Raw genomic sequence first — 20001 nt, forward strand, 5'->3', positions numbered from 1 at the left:
GCTGCTGCTGAGAATCTAAAAAGGCCAGGTGCTTGTGTGGGAGACCAGGAGTAAGGGGAGGCCTGCAGGTGAGGGGAGGCCCCAGGTGTGGAGAGGCCTGCAGGTGAGGGGAGGCCTGCAGGTGAGGAGAGGCCTGCAGGTGGGGTGAGGCCTGCAGGTGAGGAGAGGCCTGCAGGTGGGGTGAGGCCTGCAGGTGAGGGGAGGCCTGCAGGTGAGGGGAGGCCTGCAGGTGAGGAGAGGCCTGCAGGTGGGGTGAGGCCTGCAGGTGGGGTGAGGCCTGCAGGTGAGGTGAGGCCCCAGGTAAGGAGAGGCCTGCAGGTGAGGGGAGGCCTGCAGGTGAGGAGAGGCCTGCAGGTGAGGGGAGGCATGCAGGTGGGGTGAGGCCTGCAGGTGAGGAGAGGCCTGCAGGTGAGGAGAGGCCTGCAGGTGAGGGGAGGCCCCAGATGAGGAGAGGCATTCAGATGAGGCAGGCTTCACATATTTCTTATTCTATGAGGGTGTGTTTAGCTCTCACTGTGAACAGCTTTGCTGCCCCGTTCTAGGGCTGCATTGAGCCAATGCTCTGCACTGGAGTGGGAAGGGAAGAAGTTGGAGCTGGGACACATGCAGCTTCTGCAGGCTTTGGCTCTGAGATCAGGGCAGGGCTGTGCGCTTCCCAGTCTCCTGTTTCATTAGCTGGGATGTAAACAAATCATATCTTGGTTTGGATGTGATGGCCTGTCCGCAATTGTTATGAGAATCCAATTCATTCTGATTTGGCAGTTTTGTAAAGGGCAAGTCTGTGCCATTTTCCTCATCATTCAATACTGATGCATCACTTACACCCTATTCCTGTTCCTAAACCCAGTGACCCCGTGGACAGCAACTGCACATGTTTTACCTGTGCACACCCCGCAGTGCCTGTCACATTGTCTGGGACACAGTAGTTACTCAATAAATGTCTGCTTAATTAATTAGTAATTAAGTACCAAAGATACCATAGACAAATAATCTATTTTATATCTTCTTTATGTGCCATAGAAACCTCAAGAAAAGAGGAATCCTTTCTCCAGCTCAGCTTCTGTCTTTTTCCAAACTTCCTGAGCCAACAAGCGGAGTGATTGCCCGAGCAGCAGAGATAATGGAAACATCAATACAAGCGATGAAAAGAAAAGTCAACCTGAAAACTCAACAATCACAGCATCCAACGGGTAATGTGTGCCCCTCTCCCCACTGAGGAGCGGCAACTCCCGAAGGAGGACACCTTGACTTTGTGCAGGGGCTGCTTGCTCAGGGCATGTTTTTTACTTGAGACCAAGCAGGATGGGACTCCAGCTCTTTCAAAGCATACAAGCTGCAATTTTTAAAAATGCTTACCAAACAGTCTCAATATCTTATTTTTGTTACTCTGGAAAATAGCCATTTCTCTCCTATCCAAATCAAATTTGAGAAGTAGCTCAATAAGCTAAACATCCATTTTTTATGGTATAAAATAATTTAGGAATTTTCCCATAGCCCCCCTCTTAGTTAAAACTTGGCAAGCTCATTCATAAAACCTCTACAGTGAAAGGACTTCATGTGTGAGGCAGCGCATTGCAGGGAGCCCCATCTTCCCACTGAGTTGCTGGTGCCTCAGCAGAACTACCCAGGACATTTGAGAGCCAATTTACTCATCTCTAAAATGAGGACAGTGGCACTGCTCACTCCAATGGCTATCAGAAGACCAGTGCATAAACCAGGAGCAAATGTCGTCATTTCTTCAGCTCTAAAGCACTCTATGGGCATAAGATACTGAGATGGTAATGCAGGCATTCAAAAGTCATATTGGTGCTTCCTATGATGCAGAGCAAGTAAGCGAAATGTCTTTTTAATTAATTTATCAAGAATTTTTTCTCTGCAGCGCCATGAGCTACTTGGCCTCTGAGTTCTTCCTTCTAACTAGCTATAGATCAATTTGGTGCTGGTTACTTAGCTTTTAGAATAAGACAAACTTGGCTAAATCAGTATTGACCAGAATTCTCAAATCCTAAACTTAACAGTGAAGTTTAATTAATTTCATAGCAAGCTAAGATTCACCACTTTGAAATGTCCTTTCTTTCAAACCATATGGCTGAACGATGTTTCTAAGAACTCTCGGTCCACTGTCCTGTTACGGGACACTGTCCTGTCCACTGTCCTGTCAGGCCTCCTATGGAAATGGCAGTTCCTGACGTCAGAAGATGTGGGTCTTTCTGGTCCATGCCTTAGAGCCACATGCTCACTGCCGGGTCTGTAGACATCGATGTTTAGGAGAATAGGCTGAGGTATTTGGTCCAGGCTATAATGTAGAACTTAAGAACTCCATAATTTAGAATTTTTTAAAATGATTTCCGTTGTAAGTATAGCCCATCTTGAAAATTTAGAACACGAGGAACCTAAAAAGGTTTCCCATTACTTCATCACCAAGACAGAATTCCATTAAAGGTCAGTGCCTGTCCTTCTAGGCTGCTCCTTCATGTTGGTCTTGTGTGTTACATGACTATGACCTCATAGTTCTTTTCTTCTTTTTTTTTGTTGAGATGAAGTCTCCCTCTGTCGCCCAGGCTGGAGTGCAGTGGGGCGATCTCGGCTCACTGCAAGCTCCGCCTCCCAGGTTCACGCCATTCTCCTGCCTCAGCCTCCTGAGTAACTGGGACTACAGGCACTCACCACCACACCCGGCTAATTTTTTGTATTTTTAGTAGAGACGGGGTTTCACCATGTTAGCCAGGATGGTCTCGATCTCCTGACCTCGTAATCCACCCTCTTTGGCCTCCCAAAGTGCTGGGATTACAGGCGTGAGCCACCGTACCCGGCCAATGGTTCTTTTCTATCGCACATGATTTGTTGTCTGCAAGCACCTGCTTGAGGGCATTCCTGTCAAGAAGAATCTGTGCTCAGCTTTTTGAAGAATGCGTAATCCTCCACTAACTGAATGCACACTGCAGTCCAAGGTTTACTTAACTGTTCCCATAGAGCCATTCCCGTTGGACTGTTAGTGAGCATTCATGATTGAAAGACTAGTTTGTTTCTCTCATATCTGAAAATGGAATGCATTCCTTCCTGGCTTTTTTTTCTTTTGAATATCTCAATTTCACTGGTATCTTGTTAATCAAAGTTTTGTGGCATTATCCTCAAAGATTTATATAAACCATATTGGAGAAGTAATCGATGATTACCTCTACTAATGGACAATAAAGCCACTCTCACCTTGATTTGTTGAATAACATATAAATTATAGTGACAGAATTAATCCAAAAAAAAGAAAAACAGGAAATTGTTTCCTGGGTTCTCGTCTCATCTGGAAAGATTTACAAGGGAACCAAAAATCAATACAAAGGAAAAACGAAAGGTTTTATAGATAAGCGTACCATCTTCATCAAGGCAAGATTTTTTCTACATTAGGGTTCGGGATAAATTCTACTCCTCACTGTCTTCTAAAGCACTGGGGCCATTACTAGGCACACATGCCTCACTGTTCGAATATGATGAATGAGCCCTGGAGATGTGCTTAGTGAGAGTTGATGGTAACTGCAAAGTTACTTGCTGGCTTATCCCCCTGAGGGCTGAGAGCTCCTAGATTGCTTTTCTGAAAGATCACAGAGCAAAAATAAATTTTAAAACCCCCACATTTCTAGCAATAAGGAAGCTCAAGGGAATTAAATGAGTGAGCACTTGATGTAAAGGGAGAAGGCAGATTTTCTCAAAAACAGTGACCCCAGTTACATATGAATCCCAAATTCAGATGCTGGAGTCACTTTTGAGACTGCAATAGAATATTTGTTAGGTGGATTTGTGGTTACAAGCACAGAATTCATGGTTTCCTATTTTTCACAGATGCTTTATCAGAAGATCTGCTGAGCATCATTGCAAACATGTCTGGATGTCTCCCTTACATGCTGCCCCCAAAATGCCCAAACACTTGCCTGGCGAACAAATACAGGCCCATCACAGGAGCTTGCAACAACAGGTATTGTTTGTGGATTTTCTTAATCTTCTCGTGAAAGTTGGATCTGAACATGACTAGATGCCATCATGAAGGAACTTCTACCACCACTGGTGGATCTGTATCCACCCCTGAGCCCCTGGTTCCTGTCCTTGGCCTCCCCGACATGGCCTCCTGCATGCCTGGTGGTGCCTCAAGCAGCGTGCCAAGCAGTACTGTCATTCCCAGCCACAACGTCCCATCCACATAGGTGCTTACAGGTGACTCTTAACTTCCTAACCCCACAAATTCCACCGCCCTTCACCTAAGAGCTCAAGCCACGTGCTTAGGCGCCATCCTTGATTTCGCTAGCTCCGCTACCCATTGTTTCCAATGCACCCCCAAGACTGTCACTTTTACCTCCAAAATGAGTCCTCTCCACTCCCTGTCACCTTAGCTGAAGCCAAAATAACCATCCAGCTGCCATCACGTGGTGGTCCCCTCACTGGTTCTCCTAATTTAACTCTTGCTTTCCCCATTCACGCTCCCTGTTATGGCCAACACCATCTCAGCACCCTCCTTCTCAACTCCTCCCTCAGTCCCCACTGCACTCAGAGTGAGTTCAGATCCGCCCAACAGTGGTGACTGCCCACCTCCTCTGGTCCACAATGGCAGGAGATGGACAGGAGCTTTGGCCACACACAGAGGCATGTGATTCAGTCTGGGGTTCAGAATGGTTTTCTGAAGAAGGTGATATGCGAGTGAGCCAAATCTTAAAGGATGAGTGGGCATTTCTCAAATGGTCCACAGGGTAGAGAAGAGGGCTTTGCAAAGGCCGGAAAGAGCAAGATGCGTTTGGGCTGAAACGTGCAGCCTTTGGCACACAGAGGGGCAGAGGGAGAGCAGCCGGGATTGTGGCGCCTGTGGGGTCTGGGGGAAACAGTGTGCCCGGTGGTCACCTAGAAGCTTTGTCACAATAGTGTGGCGCCAGGATGGCTGCAGGCTTGATGTTCACCGATGCAGGCAGCAAAGGTGCTTAGCATGGAAGAACTCCTCAAAGGGACTCGAGCTCCTCACTGCTGGGTGTGCTGAGGTCAGAAGGAAGATGCCCCCCCCGAGAGAGGGATCAGCGGGACCCAGGCAGAGCCCTGGCTTGGACAGGCCCTGTCCTGAGACAGAGAGCAGGGGCTTTGCGACAATGAACAGGAATCGGGGTCCTGGGTATATGATGATGGTTAAGAACAACAGCTTTGCAACTGGACAGCCCTGGATTTGAAACCTGGAATCACCACCTATCAGAGGGCAGTTTGTTTCAATTCTTTGAGCTGTAAGAGCTTGTTTGTTAAGCCCACAGCAGGAATGCATAACCTGGCCATGTGTGAGGATCTGATCTTAGGACTGCGGAGCCCCGGCTGGAAGAGGCAGCCTGTGCTGAACACAGAGATGGGTCAGGGCCACACAGGAGGCTGCTGTCCACCCCTCCTGCCCTGAAGCCTGGGGGGGGGTCTGTGCCTTCCCGTGGAAGTGGGCTCAGAGGTGGAGATGGCATGTGTCCTGTCCTCAGAGCTCAGTGGGAGACATAGATGTAGACAAAGGATGCACAGGAGATGATGCCTGGGAGTATGGGGACACTGAGATGGCTGGTGGGATGCACGGCTGGAGGGACCAGGCCTGGATGGAGGAGGGGATGGGGCTGGAGGGCCTGGGTGGAGGAGGGCAGGGGGTAGGTGCACTGTTGAGTCAGAAGCCGGAGCGGAGATGGCTTGGACTACACGGGGAGGAGCAGGGTCTTCAGAAGGACAGGGTGGGGTCTAACGTGCAGGTACATGTTGAGGGTGGGGATCCCGGGGGACAGTGGCGTTGGAGATGTGGGGGCGGGGCTGCTCTCTGAATGGGTTTCATACTTCTGATTTTATTAAAGAAATATAAGACATTGAATTCTGCATTCCTAAGCACAATTATCTTAAGAATCAGCGAGTCATACTTTCCATATGTTTTCAACACCTCTAGCGTGTCTTAAACAGCGTTAACAAGTCTGGGACTCTCCGTGGCCCGAAGCACTTTCACCAGAGGGGTCCGTGATGGAGCTCCTTGGGTTCTAGGTTTTCCTTGAGACCTCCTAACTTTTTTCCATTTCCTTTTCTGCCTGCTGCCTTCTGTCTGTCAGCCATGACCCAGACCTCAGGTGCATTCTGATGGCTCTCCCTACGGAGGTCGACCCAGGGGCCACCCCCCACCCACCCCCACCCTGCCCCACGTCCCTCCTCCACGTCAGGGGGATGATGAATTCAGCCATGTGCAACATCGTGGGCATCCTTAAAGCAAATTGCAGTGGAGGGTGAATTACAGTGCTTGGGGAATCCCTGAGCAAAGCCAGTAGGCCTCACACATGATCTAAATCTTGCTTGATTTGCAAACAGAAGAGAAACTTAACTGGAGATTTTTTTTTTTTTTTTTGCAAATGCCTGGATTAAAGAAAAATGAAATATAAGCCCGACCATTCCGAAACTGCCAACTAACCTGTTTAACTAGGAACCTTCCAGCAGGACAGACCAAATAATGCGAAACTGAAGCCAGTCAAAGCTTTTCTCCAATGACGTCTACATCCACCTGCAAAGCCTGCCCCTGGGTCCTGCAGTAGAGCCTGAACCTTTCTTTGGTTTGATGCTTCCTGATTCATAAATCATGATCACTCAAAAAAAACTCTTTAAAAAATGTATTGTGCCTAAGTTTACATTTTAACAACCTCAAGACCAGGGCCTCAGCCGGCAGCAGTGAGTTCCTGCTCGGCCCTTCTGAAAGGCCCTGCTGCTGTCTTGGGCGCCTCTGCCCCAGCTGCTGGGCGGGCTCCACTGACGCTCCTGGGAGAATCTCTGCTGACCACACAATGACATTGGCACTGGGAGCTGTGATCTGGGGACACTTAGATCTGAGCTGGTTTCTCTCCTTCTGTGGTAACAGCTACAGTTTTCATTAAGAATTCACAGCATCTGGATCTAAAATCTCCTACGTTCAAGGCTTCACACATTGTATTCCACCAAAAATAAAACATCTGCTCAGAAATCGGTCACTTGTTGTTATAAAAGTGAGCCACAGAGGGCCCCTGACCCTTGGCCCCTGGGTGGTTTATTTTTTCTCTGCAGGCCTGTTAGTGCCAAAGCCCACCAAGACCAAGCTCAAATTTACTCATGCCCAATTGTGATAAAAATAGCCCAAACAAGCAGACTTTTAGCCACTTGGAGCCTACCTCTTTGCATCTTCCACAAAACCTCTCCCAGCATCTCAGGCCGTTGGTAAGATACAGCCTCGTGGTCATCAGACCCCAGGTCGCTGCTGTCTCTGGAGTTGCCTGCCCAGAGACTCCCCCTCTCCCCCTCACCATGTTGCTGAGTAATGTCACCAGACATGGAGACCCTCTGATGCCCCACTGTGAGTTCCTCGCCATCCTCCCCATCTGGGTGGCGGTCCCTCACCTTAGCCTCTGGATGGTCCCCTGCCTTGAGGGATGTCCCCTCTTCTGCACCTGTGCCCAAGAACCACCCCAAAGGCATGTGTGTGTCTCTGCCTCCCCGATCCTAACTTTTGCCTTGCTCAGCCCTGAGTTCCCAGAGCTTCCCCACACCCACTAAATTGCTAAGTTCCCCCCCAGCGGTCTCCTAAGCCGCTTCGGCGTCCCTCTCAGTCACCAGCACCTGGTTCCCCACCCACACCTTCCCATCCTTGTCTGGGCTGGTGCTGCATTTCCAATGTGCTGCGTTTCCACTGTGCTGCGTTTCCAATGTGCTACATTTCCACTGTGCTGCGTTTCCAATGTGCTGCGTTTCCACCGTGCTGCGTTTCCACCGTGCTGCATTTCCTGCATTCCAAAGCGACCTTTGGGTGTTGGCTGCAATGACATCTTTAAGACAAATGTTAGTTGGAATTAACTTTTGAAATTCTAAATGTCGAAATGGTGGATTTTAAAACTCATCCATTTCTACTAGTTTTCTTGCTTTATGGTGTGATGTCTGCATGTCACAAGTGGATGGCAGGGTTTCTAAGGCTTGTTTTTCCTTTGTTGGTATTTTCCTAATTGCCTAGGACGTATCACATAAAATTACTTAACAAGTAGTGGAAAAGAATGATTTTTCTTTCACCATTTCACCTGGACATTTTGTTTGTATGGTGTAGTCGGTGCCGCAGGAGCTACCTTGTTGAAAGAGAAGGGGGCAGGCTGCTTCTCCTTTGTGTGGTGTAGCTAATGCCACACCTGTACTTCTTGTTTGTATGAAGTGGTCAGTGCCACAGGAGCTACCACTTTAGAAGGGAATGGAGCAGGCTGCTTCTTGTTTATATGGTGTAGTCAGTGCCGCAGGAGGCACTATGTTGGAAGAGAATGGGCAGGCTTCTTCCTGTTTGTATGATCTAGTCAGTGCCGCAGGACGTACTATGTTGTAAGTGAATGGAGCAGGCTCATTCCTGTTTTTATGGTGTAGTCATTGCCGCAGGAGGTACTACGTTGGAAGCAAGTAGGGCAGGGTCCTTCTTGTTTCCATGGTGTAGTCAGTGCCGCAGGAGGCACTACGTTGGAAGGGAACAGGGCAGGGTCCTTCTTGTTTGTATGATCTAGTCATTGCCACAGGAGGCACTATGTTGGAAGGGAATAGGGCAGGGTCCTTCTTGTTTCCATGGTGTAGTCAGTGCCACAGGAGGCACTATGTTGGAAGGGAACAGGGCAGGGTCCTTCTTGTTTGTATGATCTAGTCATTGCTGCAGGAGCTACCAGTTGTAAATGAATGGAGCAGGCTCCTTCCTGTTTGCATGGTGTAGTGAGTGCCGCAGGAGGCAGTACGTTGGAAGGGAATAGGGCAGGGTCCTTCTTGTTTGTGTGGTGTAGTCAGTGCCGCAGGAGCTACCGTGTTGGAAGGGAATGGGGCAGACTCCTTCTTGTTGGTACGGTGTGGCCAATGCTGCAGGACGTACCATGTTGGAAGAGAATGGGGCTTGAGTTTGTTTTGCTTTACACTTTGTCATAAAGGAAATTATCAGTTCTCTGCATAAGCCCCTATTTTTTAACAAGGGGGTGTGTGTGCATGCACGGCAAGCTGGTCCCTTTAAACATTTTAGAATCTCTAAATATAAAGCTTAAGATATTAGGAATGCTGTTGATAACTGTGCATTTGGGGTGAAGGTGTTTTGGTAGTATCATTTAAAGGATTTCCAGCTTCTTTCTGTTTCTGTTACCAACCTGTGGAGACCTCTTCATCATCCTGGACTCAGATCAGGGTCCTCGACTCTGCTGCGCTCCCAGCCAGCTGAGGCTGTTGTTCCTCACCTGTGTGTTTTTATAGAAGTCTAGGAGCTGGGGGGTAGGAGGTGGGTGTGGGCAGGGGTCACGTCACTTGCAGGTTGCCTTTGCTAGAAGCAGTCACATTGGCTGAGAACAGAATCCCCAGGGCCTGAGGATGTCCTGCAGAAATTTGGGTTTTAGTGTGTAGCTTGGCATCAGCCTAGAGATAAGACAAATTCTATTTTAAAAATCAAGTGCTCCATGGCGGGATGGTGATATAGTTGGCTGTGTCCCCACCCAAATCTCATTTGAATTCCCACATGTTGTGGGAGGGACCAGGTGGGAGGTAATTGAATCATGGGGGCAGGTCTTTCTTGTGATGTTCTCGTGATAGTGAATAAGTCTCACGAGATTTGACAGCTTTATAAGGGGAAGTTCCCCTGCACAAGCTCTCTTTCTGCCTGCCGCCATCCATGTAAGACATGACCTGCTCCTCCTTGCCTTCCACCATGATTGTGAGGCCTCCACGTGGAATCGTAAGTCCATTAAACCTCCTTTTCTTCTCAGACTCAGGTATGTCTTTATCAGCAGCATGAAAACAGACTAATACAGATGGAGTAGGGGAGGGCTACTGAAGAAATGAAGCCTCTCAGCTACTGGAAATAGATGCAATCAGGGTGGAATTACTCACGGACAGTCCTCCAGAGGCAGTGGGGTCATTGTGGAGATCTGTGTGCCACAACAGCCAGAAAACAAAGGGGCCACGAGCCACTGTTTGCTCTGTGGTCTAAATCAATGGACTATCTTACCACATGCAATGTTAGACAGTGTATTACATATGATTATTCATAAGCAGAAATACAAATATATATTATATACTGTAAGACAGTATTCATTATATGATAAATATGATGAATTCACCTAGATACTTCATATAGAATTTGCCTTCAGTTTTAGATTGATACATGTGATAAGAACTTCTCTGTGTGTTCTTGAGAAAGTGCTCACATTCCCATGCATAATGGAAAGGACATTGTATTTTGAAATAGAAGACGAAATTCCAGCCACCACTTTGTCAGTTACAAGCTGCTTAGACTTCATGTCTTGCTTAGTTTCTCAAATTCTCTGCACCTGGAAACTGGCAAAGATAGTGATGCTCATTTCTAGGGTTGTCATGAGGCTGAAGTGAGACAATGCAGCAGAAATAATTTGTGAGCAATAATGATACAAAGGTCAGTGATTGATTATGTAAATAATGGCCACCTTTGAAGCCCCTTTCTTCAAAGAGTCTGAGTCTTGATTCTTGAAGAGGTGTGATTTTTCTTTGAAAAATTGCATTATTTCTTGCTGGGCACTTTGGCTCACGCCTGTAAAGACAGCACTTTCGGAGGCTGAGGTCGGGGGATCGCTTGAGCCCAGGAGCTCAAGACCAGCCTGGGCAACAAAGCAATACCTCATCTCTAAAACAAACAAACAAAAAATTGTGTTATTTCTTGAGTTTTGATCTGATGAACTACTGCAGTAAACCACTGTGTCTCACAGTGTTGGAAGGGAATGGAGCCAGCTCCTTCTTGTTGTATGGTGTAGGCAATGCCGCAGGAGGTACCGTGTTTGAAGGGAATGGGGCAGGCTCCTTCTTGTTTGTATGATCCAGTCATTGCTGCAGGAGGCACCGTGTTGGAAGGGAGTGGGGCAGGCTCCTTCTTGTTTGTATGACCCAGTCATTGCTGCAGAAGGTACCATGTTGGAAGGGAATGGGGCAGGCTCCTTCTTGTTTGTATGATCCAGTCATTGTTGCAGGAGGCACCGTGTTGGAAGGGAATGGGCAGGCTCCTTCTTGTTTGTATGATCCAGTCATTGTTGCAGGAGGCAACATGTTGGAAGGGAATGGGGCCGGGGCCTTCTTGTTTGTATGATCCAGTCATTGCTGCAGGAGGCACCATGTTGGAAGGGAAAGGGCAGGCTCCTTCTTGTTTGTATGATCCAGTCATTGCTGCAGGAGGTACCATGTTGGAAGGGAACGGGGCAGGCTCGTTCTTGTTTGTATGATCCAGTCACTGCTGCAGGAGGCACCTTGTTGGAAGGGAATGGAGCTGGCTCCTTCTTGTTTGTATGATCCAGTCATTGCTGCGGGAGGCACCATGTTGGAAGGGAATGGGGCAGGCTCCTTCTTGTTTGTATGATCCAGTCACTGCTGCGGGAGGCACCATGTTGGAAGGGAATGGGGCAGGCTCCTTCTTGTTTATATGATCCAGTTATTGCTGCAGGAGGCACCATGTTGGAAGGGAATGGGGCAGGCGCCTTCTTGTTTGTATGATCCAGTCATTGCTGCAGGAGGTACCATGTTGGAAGGGAACGGGGCAGGCTCGTTCTTGTTTGTATGATCCAATCACTGCTGCAGGAGGCACCATGTTGGAAGGGAATGGAGCTGGCTCCTTCTTGTTTGTATGATCCAGTCATTGCTGCGGGAGGCACCATGTTAGAAGGGAATGGGGCAGGCTCCTTCTTGTTTGTATGATCCAGTCACTGCTGCGGGAGGCACCATGTTGGAAGGGAATGGGGCAGGCTCCTTCTTGTTTATATGATCCAGTTATTGCTGCAGGAGGCACCATGTTGGAAGGGAATGGGGCAGGCGCCTTCTTGTTTGTATGATCCAGTCATTGCTGCAGGAGGTACCATGTTGGAAGGGAACGGGGCAGGCTCGTTCTTGTTTGTATGATCCAATCACTGCTGCAGGAGGCACCGTGTTGGAAGGGAATGGAGCTGGCTCCTTCTTGTTTGTATGATCCAGTCATTGCTGCAGGAGGTACCATGTTGGAAGGGAATGGAGCTGGCTCCTTCTTGTTTGTATGATGCAGTCATTGCTGCAGGAGGTACTGTGTTGGAAGGGAATGGGGCAGGCTCCTTCTTGTTTGTATGATCCAGTCATTGCTGCAGGAGGCACCATGTTGGAAGGAAATGGGGCAGGCTCCTTCCTGTTTGTATGATCCAGTCACTGCTGCAGGAGTCACCATGTTGGAAGGGAATGGGGCAGGCTCCTTCTTGTTTGTATGATCCAATCACTGCTGCAGGAGGCACCATGTTGGAAGGGAATGGGCAGGCTCCTTCCTGTTTGTATGATCCAGTCATTGCTGCAGGAGGCACTGTGTTGGAAGGGAATGAGCAGGCTCCTTCTTGTTTGTATGATCCAGTCATTGCTGCAGGAGGTACCCTGTTGGAAGGTAATGGGCAGGCTCCTTCTTGTTTGTATGATCCAGTCATTGCTGCAGGAGGCACCATGCTGGAAGGGAATGGGCAGGCTCCTTCTTGTTTGTATGATCCAGTCATTGCTGCAGGAGGTACCATGTTGGAAGGGAATGGGGCAGGCTCCTTCTTGTTTGTATGATCCAGTCATTGCTGCAGGAGGTACCATGTTGGAAGGGAATGGAGCTGGCTCCTTCTTGTTTGTATGATGCAGTCATTGCTGCAGGAGGTACTGTGTTGGAAGGGAATGGGGCAGGCTCCTTCTTGTTTGTATGATCCAGTCATTGCTGCAGGAGGCACCATGTTGGAAGGAAATGGGGCAGGCTCCTTCCTGTTTGTATGATCCAGTCACTGCTGCAGGAGTCACCATGTTGGAAGGGAATGGGCAGGCTCCTTCTTGTTTGTATGATCCAATCACTGCTGCAGGAGGCACCATGTTGGAAGGGAATGGGCAGGCTCCTTCCTGTTTGTATGATCCAGTCATTGCTGCAGGAGGCACTGTGTTGGAAGGGAATGAGCAGGCTCCTTCTTGTTTGTATGATCCAGTCATTGCTGCAGGAGGTACCCTGTTGGAAGGTAATGGGCAGGCTCCTTCTTGTTTGTATGATCCAGTCATTGCTGCAGGAGGCACCATGCTGGAAGGGAATGGGCAGGCTCCTTCTTGTTTGTATGATCCAGTCATTGCTGCAGGAGGTACCATGTTGGAAGGGAATGGGGCAGGCTCCTTCTTGTTTGTATGATCCAGTCATTGCTGCAGGAGGTACCATGTTGGAAGGGAATGGGGCAGGCTCCTTGTTTGTATGATCCAGTCATTGCTGCAGGAGGTACCGTGTTGGAAGGGAATGGGCAGGCTCCTTCTTGTTTGTATGATCCAGTCATTGCTGCAGGAGGTACCATGTTGGAAGGGAATGGGGTAGGCTCCTTCTTGTTTGTATGAACCACTCATTGCTGCAGGAGGTACCATGTTGGAAGGGAATGGGGCAGGCTCCTTCCTGTTTGTATGATCCAGTCACTGCTGCAGGAGGCACCGTGTTGGAAGGGAATGGGGCAGGCTCCTTCCTGTTTGTATGATCCCGTCATTGCTGCAGGAGGTACCATGTTGGATATGGTACCATGTTGGATAAGTGGCACAGTGGATAGAATCCATCGCCATAGTGACCATGAGTGGATTCCTGCTATTAAATTGGGGTACGACTTATGCAGGGCTTGGGGGTGAATCTGGAGGGACAGGTGGCCGAGTCTTCCATGGGCCTGCACCCCCAGATGAGAAGCCCCCAGGTGCAGATCGAGAACTGTACACCCCAGAGGGCTGCCTTCTGGCCCCTCCTAGGTTTTGACATCTACCCAGAGGTGACCATTGCTTTGATCTTCATCACCATAGTTAGTTTTCCCTGACCTGGCTTTTATAGGAAGGAAGTTAGATGGTAACCCCTGGGCCTGGCTTCTCCACCTCCAGGATTTATTTGCTCCTGCCTTGCTGAGGGAGACACTCATCGTTACAGGGCAGGCATGGGCGCCTCTCTGCTGAGCACTGGTCAATGCTTCCAAGTGGCTGCTCCAATCTGCATTCCCAGGAGCAAAGTGTAAGAGCCCCACAGCCCTCACCAATCCCCGTCACTGTGATCCCTTTCATTTTGGCCCTTCTTGAGGGGAGGGTGGCATTTCCTGTGGTTTAACTTCACATTTTCCTGGTGACTAATTGTCTTGAGCACTTTTAAAATACATTCATTGGCCATTTGGAGACTCTTTTTCGGGATGTGCCAGTTCAAACATTTTTCCCATTTTTTAATGAATCTTTTTTGATTTATAGATGCTCATATTTTCTAAATATGTCTTCAGTGAGAAATATGTTTTACAAATGTCTTCTCCCAGCTGAGATTGGCCTTTTCACTCTCCATGCTGTCTTTTGAAGAAACGTTGTTCATATTTTTAATGAAGTCCCCTTTATCAATTACTTATTTCATGGAAAGAAAACTTTTTTGTTATGTTTAAGAATCTTGCTTTCTCTGAAGAATGTGAAGGTATTTTTCTTGTGTTTTCTGCTGAAAATGTTATTGTTTTACATGTCACATTTAGATCTGTGACCCATCTCATTTTATGTTTTCTGCAACATACGAGGTGGCAACCATGAGGGGTGTGTGTGTGTGTATGTGTGTGTGTGTATTGTAAACCAAAAATAAAATTCTAAGTCTTGCGATCATCTGAATTGACCCCTCCTGTTGGCAAGGGTGTTCCAAAGCTAACCTGAAAAACTAATCTGACCGTGATGGGGAGAGTGAGGTCAGACGTGCCTCATGACACCCTCCTCCCTTTTGGAATTTCTGCTAGAACAGACTTCTTAACTCTGAGAAGAAACATTTACAGTCTCTTCTCTCAGAAGCCTGCTGCCTGGAGACTTCACCTGCACGATGAAACCTTGGTCTCCACAACCTGTGTCTTAACCCAGACAGTCTTAAGTCCTTAGACGATAACTTTACTCTTTCAAAAAATTGCCACTCAGAAAATTTTTGAATCTACCTTTGGCCTAGAAGCCCCCGCTTCCAGATGTCCTGCCTTTTTGTACTGAACCAGTGTACATCTTACATGTATTTGATTGATGTCTTGTGTCTCCCTAAAATATATGAAACTAAGCTGTGCCTCAACCACCTTGGACACAAGTTCTCAGGATCTCCTGAGGGCTGAATCATTGGCCATTGGTCACTCATATCTGGCTCAGAATAAATCTCTTCAACTATTTTACAGAGCTTGACTCTTCACTGACAATATCTATAAGTGTTTGTGTATATATAGAGGCATGTATATATAGGTAGATTTGTATGTGTGTGTGTATATATCTATAATAAACACAGGTCTATATAGAGGGGTGTGTGTGTATGTATGTATAGATATGTGTGTGTGAAAGCATGTGTATATGATATTTATTCAGAACCATCCTTTACCCAGTGAACTGCACCCATGCCTATATCATGAATCGAGTAGCCACATGTGTGTGGGCGAGGACTGCTAGACTCTTACCATTATGTATACAATTATGAGAGAGAGGGAGAGAACCTGAGTTAAACAATTAGCCACATTTCTCTTTAAGCCTACTGAGAAAAAGACACAGGGACCCAGCAGACATCAGAACACCTTGTTGGGGCAGCTCGCACTGGGGCGCAGGTGGCAGAAGCCTCACGGGATTCTGTACAGCAGGAAGAGAGGCCGGCTTCAGCCCCTCCTGCCTGACAGCACAGGGGTCTTGCCTGGCCTGGGAGGAGCCGGGATTGGAGGCAGGGGCTGCTCCTGCCTCCAGAGGTTTCCAGGAGACTGCATGTTGTGCCCTGCCGGCATCCACACATTTGTGTAGTACCCACTCCCAGACAAGGACACTCATAGACTTCCTCCGGCCTCGCGTGGGAGCCGAGCCTGTGGTCTGCATCTCGCTGTGCTCCACGCAGCTCCTGCATGCAGCTCCTGCACGCATCGGCTGGGCTCGCAGATGTCAGGTCCGCCTCCTTTCCTCTTCCCTGAGCCTCTGCCGAGCCCTCCCGACCCGAGGGTCGGCTGCTCCCTTCCCCGCCTGAGTCACTTCCGTGACTCTCTTCATCCTCAGAGCCATCCCCTTCCTCATCTGTAATGTGGGAAGAACACCCACCTCGCAGGGTTGTTTCTGGTTGAAAGGCAGCACTTGTCAGGCTCCTTGCACGCTGTCCACAGCCGGCCATCGTAAGAGTTACGGCGACTGTCACCTCTCAGCCACTCCTCGGCATCGGACCTCTTGGCTCCTGGCCATGGCATTGACCACAGAATGTCATAAACAGCCCAGTGTGTTTTTCCACGAGAGCAGTGGTCGGAGGCTCCTGCAGGTAAATGGCTGGAGATTGATTGACGTGGGAATATCACGGCATCACAGAATCAGAGCACATTTGTTCACGGTGCAGGAATAACATCAAGTGAGTGGTGAGCTCTAAAGGACCTGGCCCTCGAGGTAGCTCACACCCTCGATGATGAATGGAGCCAGGCCACAGGTGAAATTTCCATCCAGGCGGGACAGACTCAAGCCGGGACTGGGTTCCCCTGACGCCCGGCTTCCCAAATGTGCTTCCCTCCCGGATGCACAGAGAACGAACGTGGCATGGACATTGTGAGCTGCAGGAAGCGATCCCACCAGGGATCAAAAAGCCAACTTCCTCCAGCGGCCATTCTGCACTAAGCCTCTTTCGTGGAGTTCACGTTCTGTCCAATACAGCCTTAAAGCCCATGAACAATTCTGGGGGAGACGATCAGGTCTGAAAGGAAAATTCCATATGGGTATTTAAGTTATTGGAAGAACCCTTAAGATCTACCTGGGTTTAACATAGAATTTGCTATATGTAACTTGGTATATCATTCTCTATAGTCATTTGCCTAAAAATCATCAAAAGTATAAATTCAATGTTGCATCTCCCATCCAGATATTTTGTGTTAAAAACACCTCATATCTGATGTCTGACAGCTATTTTCTTTTTTTCTATGTATTTGCCTTGAATTCACATTCGTAGTCACCTTTTTTCCCTCTCACTTTGTTTTTCATTTGCATTTTGACCTAATTCATGAAATTATCCAGCAGGGAGAGACCTGATGGAGTTTTGCTGGAATGAAGCTCCTTGACACAATCGTCTCCTTTTTAGAAGTGCCTGTAGATTGAAAGTTCAATTGCTCAAAACAGTTTGCTAAAGAACAAATGTGTGTCTATTAAGAGTTTAAGTTGCACTTGTAAATCCACCAATGGCACTAAGATATCATTTAGCAATATTGACACTTGAAGTGATAAAAAAACAGAAAATACCTTTGACGTCAAATAAATGTATTAGTCTTTAAGAAAAAAAGAGGTGGAATTGACCTTGGTGTCTTATGAAATCGCAGAACATATGATGGGTATAAACAATGCCAGAATAAACAAGATTTTCAAAGTTTTTGGAAAAAGCTGAGCTCATGCCGATTATAGAAAGCATTTGCATCTTTTGAAGGGTTTTCCTCTGAGGGTTCAAATGTCCCTCAGGGATCATGCTGGTGATAATCCCAGCTCACAAACTGACTGGTCTTAATTGCCTTCAATCAAGTAGCTCCAGCAGGAGACGGGAAAAATCACCGCTGAGTTTCCTCATACTTCTGGCCACCTGACAGGGTGTCAGGCGTTTTTGGGGACAAAATGAATCCTCGCACACCTGGCCCAGCAGGATGAGGGCATCCCGTGTCCCGCTGCTGCCCCGCTGAGAAAGAGGTGCCGTTACAGGAGTGGAAAGCTGACTTCGTCCACAGTTTCTCTCCCAGCATTTCACACTGCATTGCTGTTTGCTTCTTTTCATGGGCGGCACACATCTCTGGCACTCAGCGTGTCCATGTGCTGTTACTGGATGGCCATACCTGGCAAACATATTGACCTGTGTCTTGCGGCCTCAGTCCACAGCTTTATGCTCAAGCGCTCTTCAAGATGGAAGTTTAGAATTTCTTCTTTTTGGAATTCAGAAATCACAAAGTCTCCAGTGCCAGGTGCCTGGGAGAGGGGAACTAGGGTCCCAGGGAAATCAGAGTGACTCGGAGCCTCAGCAGGAGCACAGACCTCAGTCTCCCTCATAAAACTCTCCTCCAGAAATGTTTCTCTTTGTTCATTTTGTCAGCTTTATGAGCCTTTTTCCAATGCTGCCATTAATTCAGATCTAAGAAAGGAACAGTGTGGTACAATAGATTTCCACTGGGAAAGGATCTTTCCAACAGGAGCTGATCAAAGTCTCAGAGGGACCCTTCTCAGTCCTGCTGACCTGCTGACCGTGAAGGTCAGGTGACACATTTGCGGAGGGTCCACAACAAATGTCTGTGAGTGCCCTTGAGCCATTGTAATGTCCTAGTGAACTGCTGACATATAAAAGTCAATCAGCAAAAAAAATCACTGCTTAAGCAGTTAAATTAACATTATTTTTAATTGAGTAATCTAACACCTCCCTATGAGCCATACTTTATGGAATTTCAATAAAGACAAACCAACCATAACGAATCTGAACACTTTATTAAAGCAATCTTTCCAATCTTCAGTTGCTGACGTATTGCAGCTGATTATATGCATTACTCTCCCATACATTTTTGCAAATTGAGCCACTTTGGTGTGCTGGAGATTAATGAAGTATTAATAACAGAATTATTCTCCCCTTATGGTCCCTGCAGACATAGAGAAGTAACCATGTCCCCAAGCCTCCTGCCGCTGCTGACCACTCATCATCCAATGTGTCCTGGATGAGGTAGCAGCTGGTGCACAACAGTAAGAATAAAAGCTCCTCTCCTCTAATGTACGGAGCTGCGTGGTGGCCTTAGAGACTTTTAAACTGGAAGAGTCTCAGCTCTTCAGTCTACCTCAAGGACAAAACGGATCTTTCCTTCACAAATGTTGCCCAGGTTACAAACAGTTCTTAGTAGAACCTTAGTCCTTTCATTCCTGTGCAGAACATCTAAATCGGTCACATTTAATACGAATGACTAATGTATGTTATAACCATAAAGGCGATGGTAATTTATGACAAAACCACTAATTTTTAAATATTTATATTCCCAAACACTCCAAATGTTTTAAAAAGTTATTTATCTTGTCACGATTCTTGTAGACTTCACTCCTTGTATTTTTTAAGTGTGTACATATCAGATACATGGGAGGATTTTCAAAGCCTGCATCCTAGTCACGCCTGACTCTTTTGTCATGTGCCTTGCAAAGCCTCCCAATACCAGTTGTCCATGATGCAGCTTCAGACTCTGCAGACTCAGCCCTGGTTGTGTTGCATGACTCTGCAGCTGCCACACACAGAACCTCAGTGCTGGTTGTTCCCACACGGGCGTGACTGACAGATACCAATGGAACCCGGATATCATGACAATGTTAGACCCAAAACAATCTGTATTTATTTTTAACAAAAGGAACCTACTTTTTTCCACAAAAAATTTCTATTTTTTTCTCTTTGAATTGACTTTTATATTCTAATTCTCTCATATTTCCTTCCAAATGCAGAATAATTTATGCCTTATAAATTGAGCCATTTTCTTCCAAATGTAGAATATTTTATACTTGAGAAATCCTTTATTTTTAATAAGTTTTACATATTTCTTTACCTATCCTCTACAGATATGTATGCTCATGTTATATATTTGATACATTCATTTATATATTCTTCACATTCATATAGTCTTACCATGCATTTATATATTTGAATATGTATTTTATTTTGCATGTTACTTTTTATGTATTTTATAAATTTAAATTTCATATTTAGAAAATGTTCAGTGAGCACAAGGGCCTCAGTGTTCATTGTTTTCTTCAAGATTTAGTTATTTTTTACACATTATTAGAACACAATTGATTTAATAAGCACGGATCTATGACAGATGTTGGTAATTATTATGCATAGAGATAAATATTTATTGGAATTAGTTTATTGATGAGATGGGTGGAGTTCCAGTTAGTTCCTTCATCAGTTGGCTGAACATCACCTGTGGGCCAAGGGGCCATGCACCCTGGTTACCCGAGATCCTTCCTATTTATGCCTTCTGTCCCAGGAAATTATTA

The 20001-nt window shown here is 47.0% G+C and overlaps 1 protein-coding gene across 21 annotated transcripts in view, besides 1 other annotated feature; it reads left to right on the forward strand.

The window, feature by feature from the left end:
* Nucleotides 1-20001, forward strand: part of TPO (thyroid peroxidase) — a 169627-nt gene that overhangs the window by 58371 nt on the left and 91255 nt on the right. For all 21 annotated transcript variants that reach the window (XM_047445652.1, XM_047445655.1, XM_047445654.1 and 18 more), the window contains 2 exons: nt 1021-1190; nt 3835-3967. In XM_047445652.1, coding sequence (XP_047301608.1) covers nt 1021-1190; nt 3835-3967 — 303 coding nt within the window. The remainder of the gene's footprint in view (nt 1-1020; nt 1191-3834; nt 3968-20001) is intronic.
* Nucleotides 15324-15934: an enhancer, noted in NCBI's record as "H3K4me1 hESC enhancer chr2:1451513-1452123 (GRCh37/hg19 assembly coordinates)". NCBI's record gives its function as "activates a minimal SCP1, AML or CMV promoter by ChIP-STARR-seq in primed H9 embryonic stem cells {active_cell/tissue: H9 hESC(primed)}" and the evidence as "EXISTENCE:reporter gene assay evidence [ECO:0000049][PMID:30033119]".

Source organism: Homo sapiens, chromosome 2 (genome assembly GCF_000001405.40).
Source record: "Homo sapiens chromosome 2, GRCh38.p14 Primary Assembly".
NCBI lineage: Eukaryota > Metazoa > Chordata > Mammalia > Primates > Hominidae > Homo > Homo sapiens.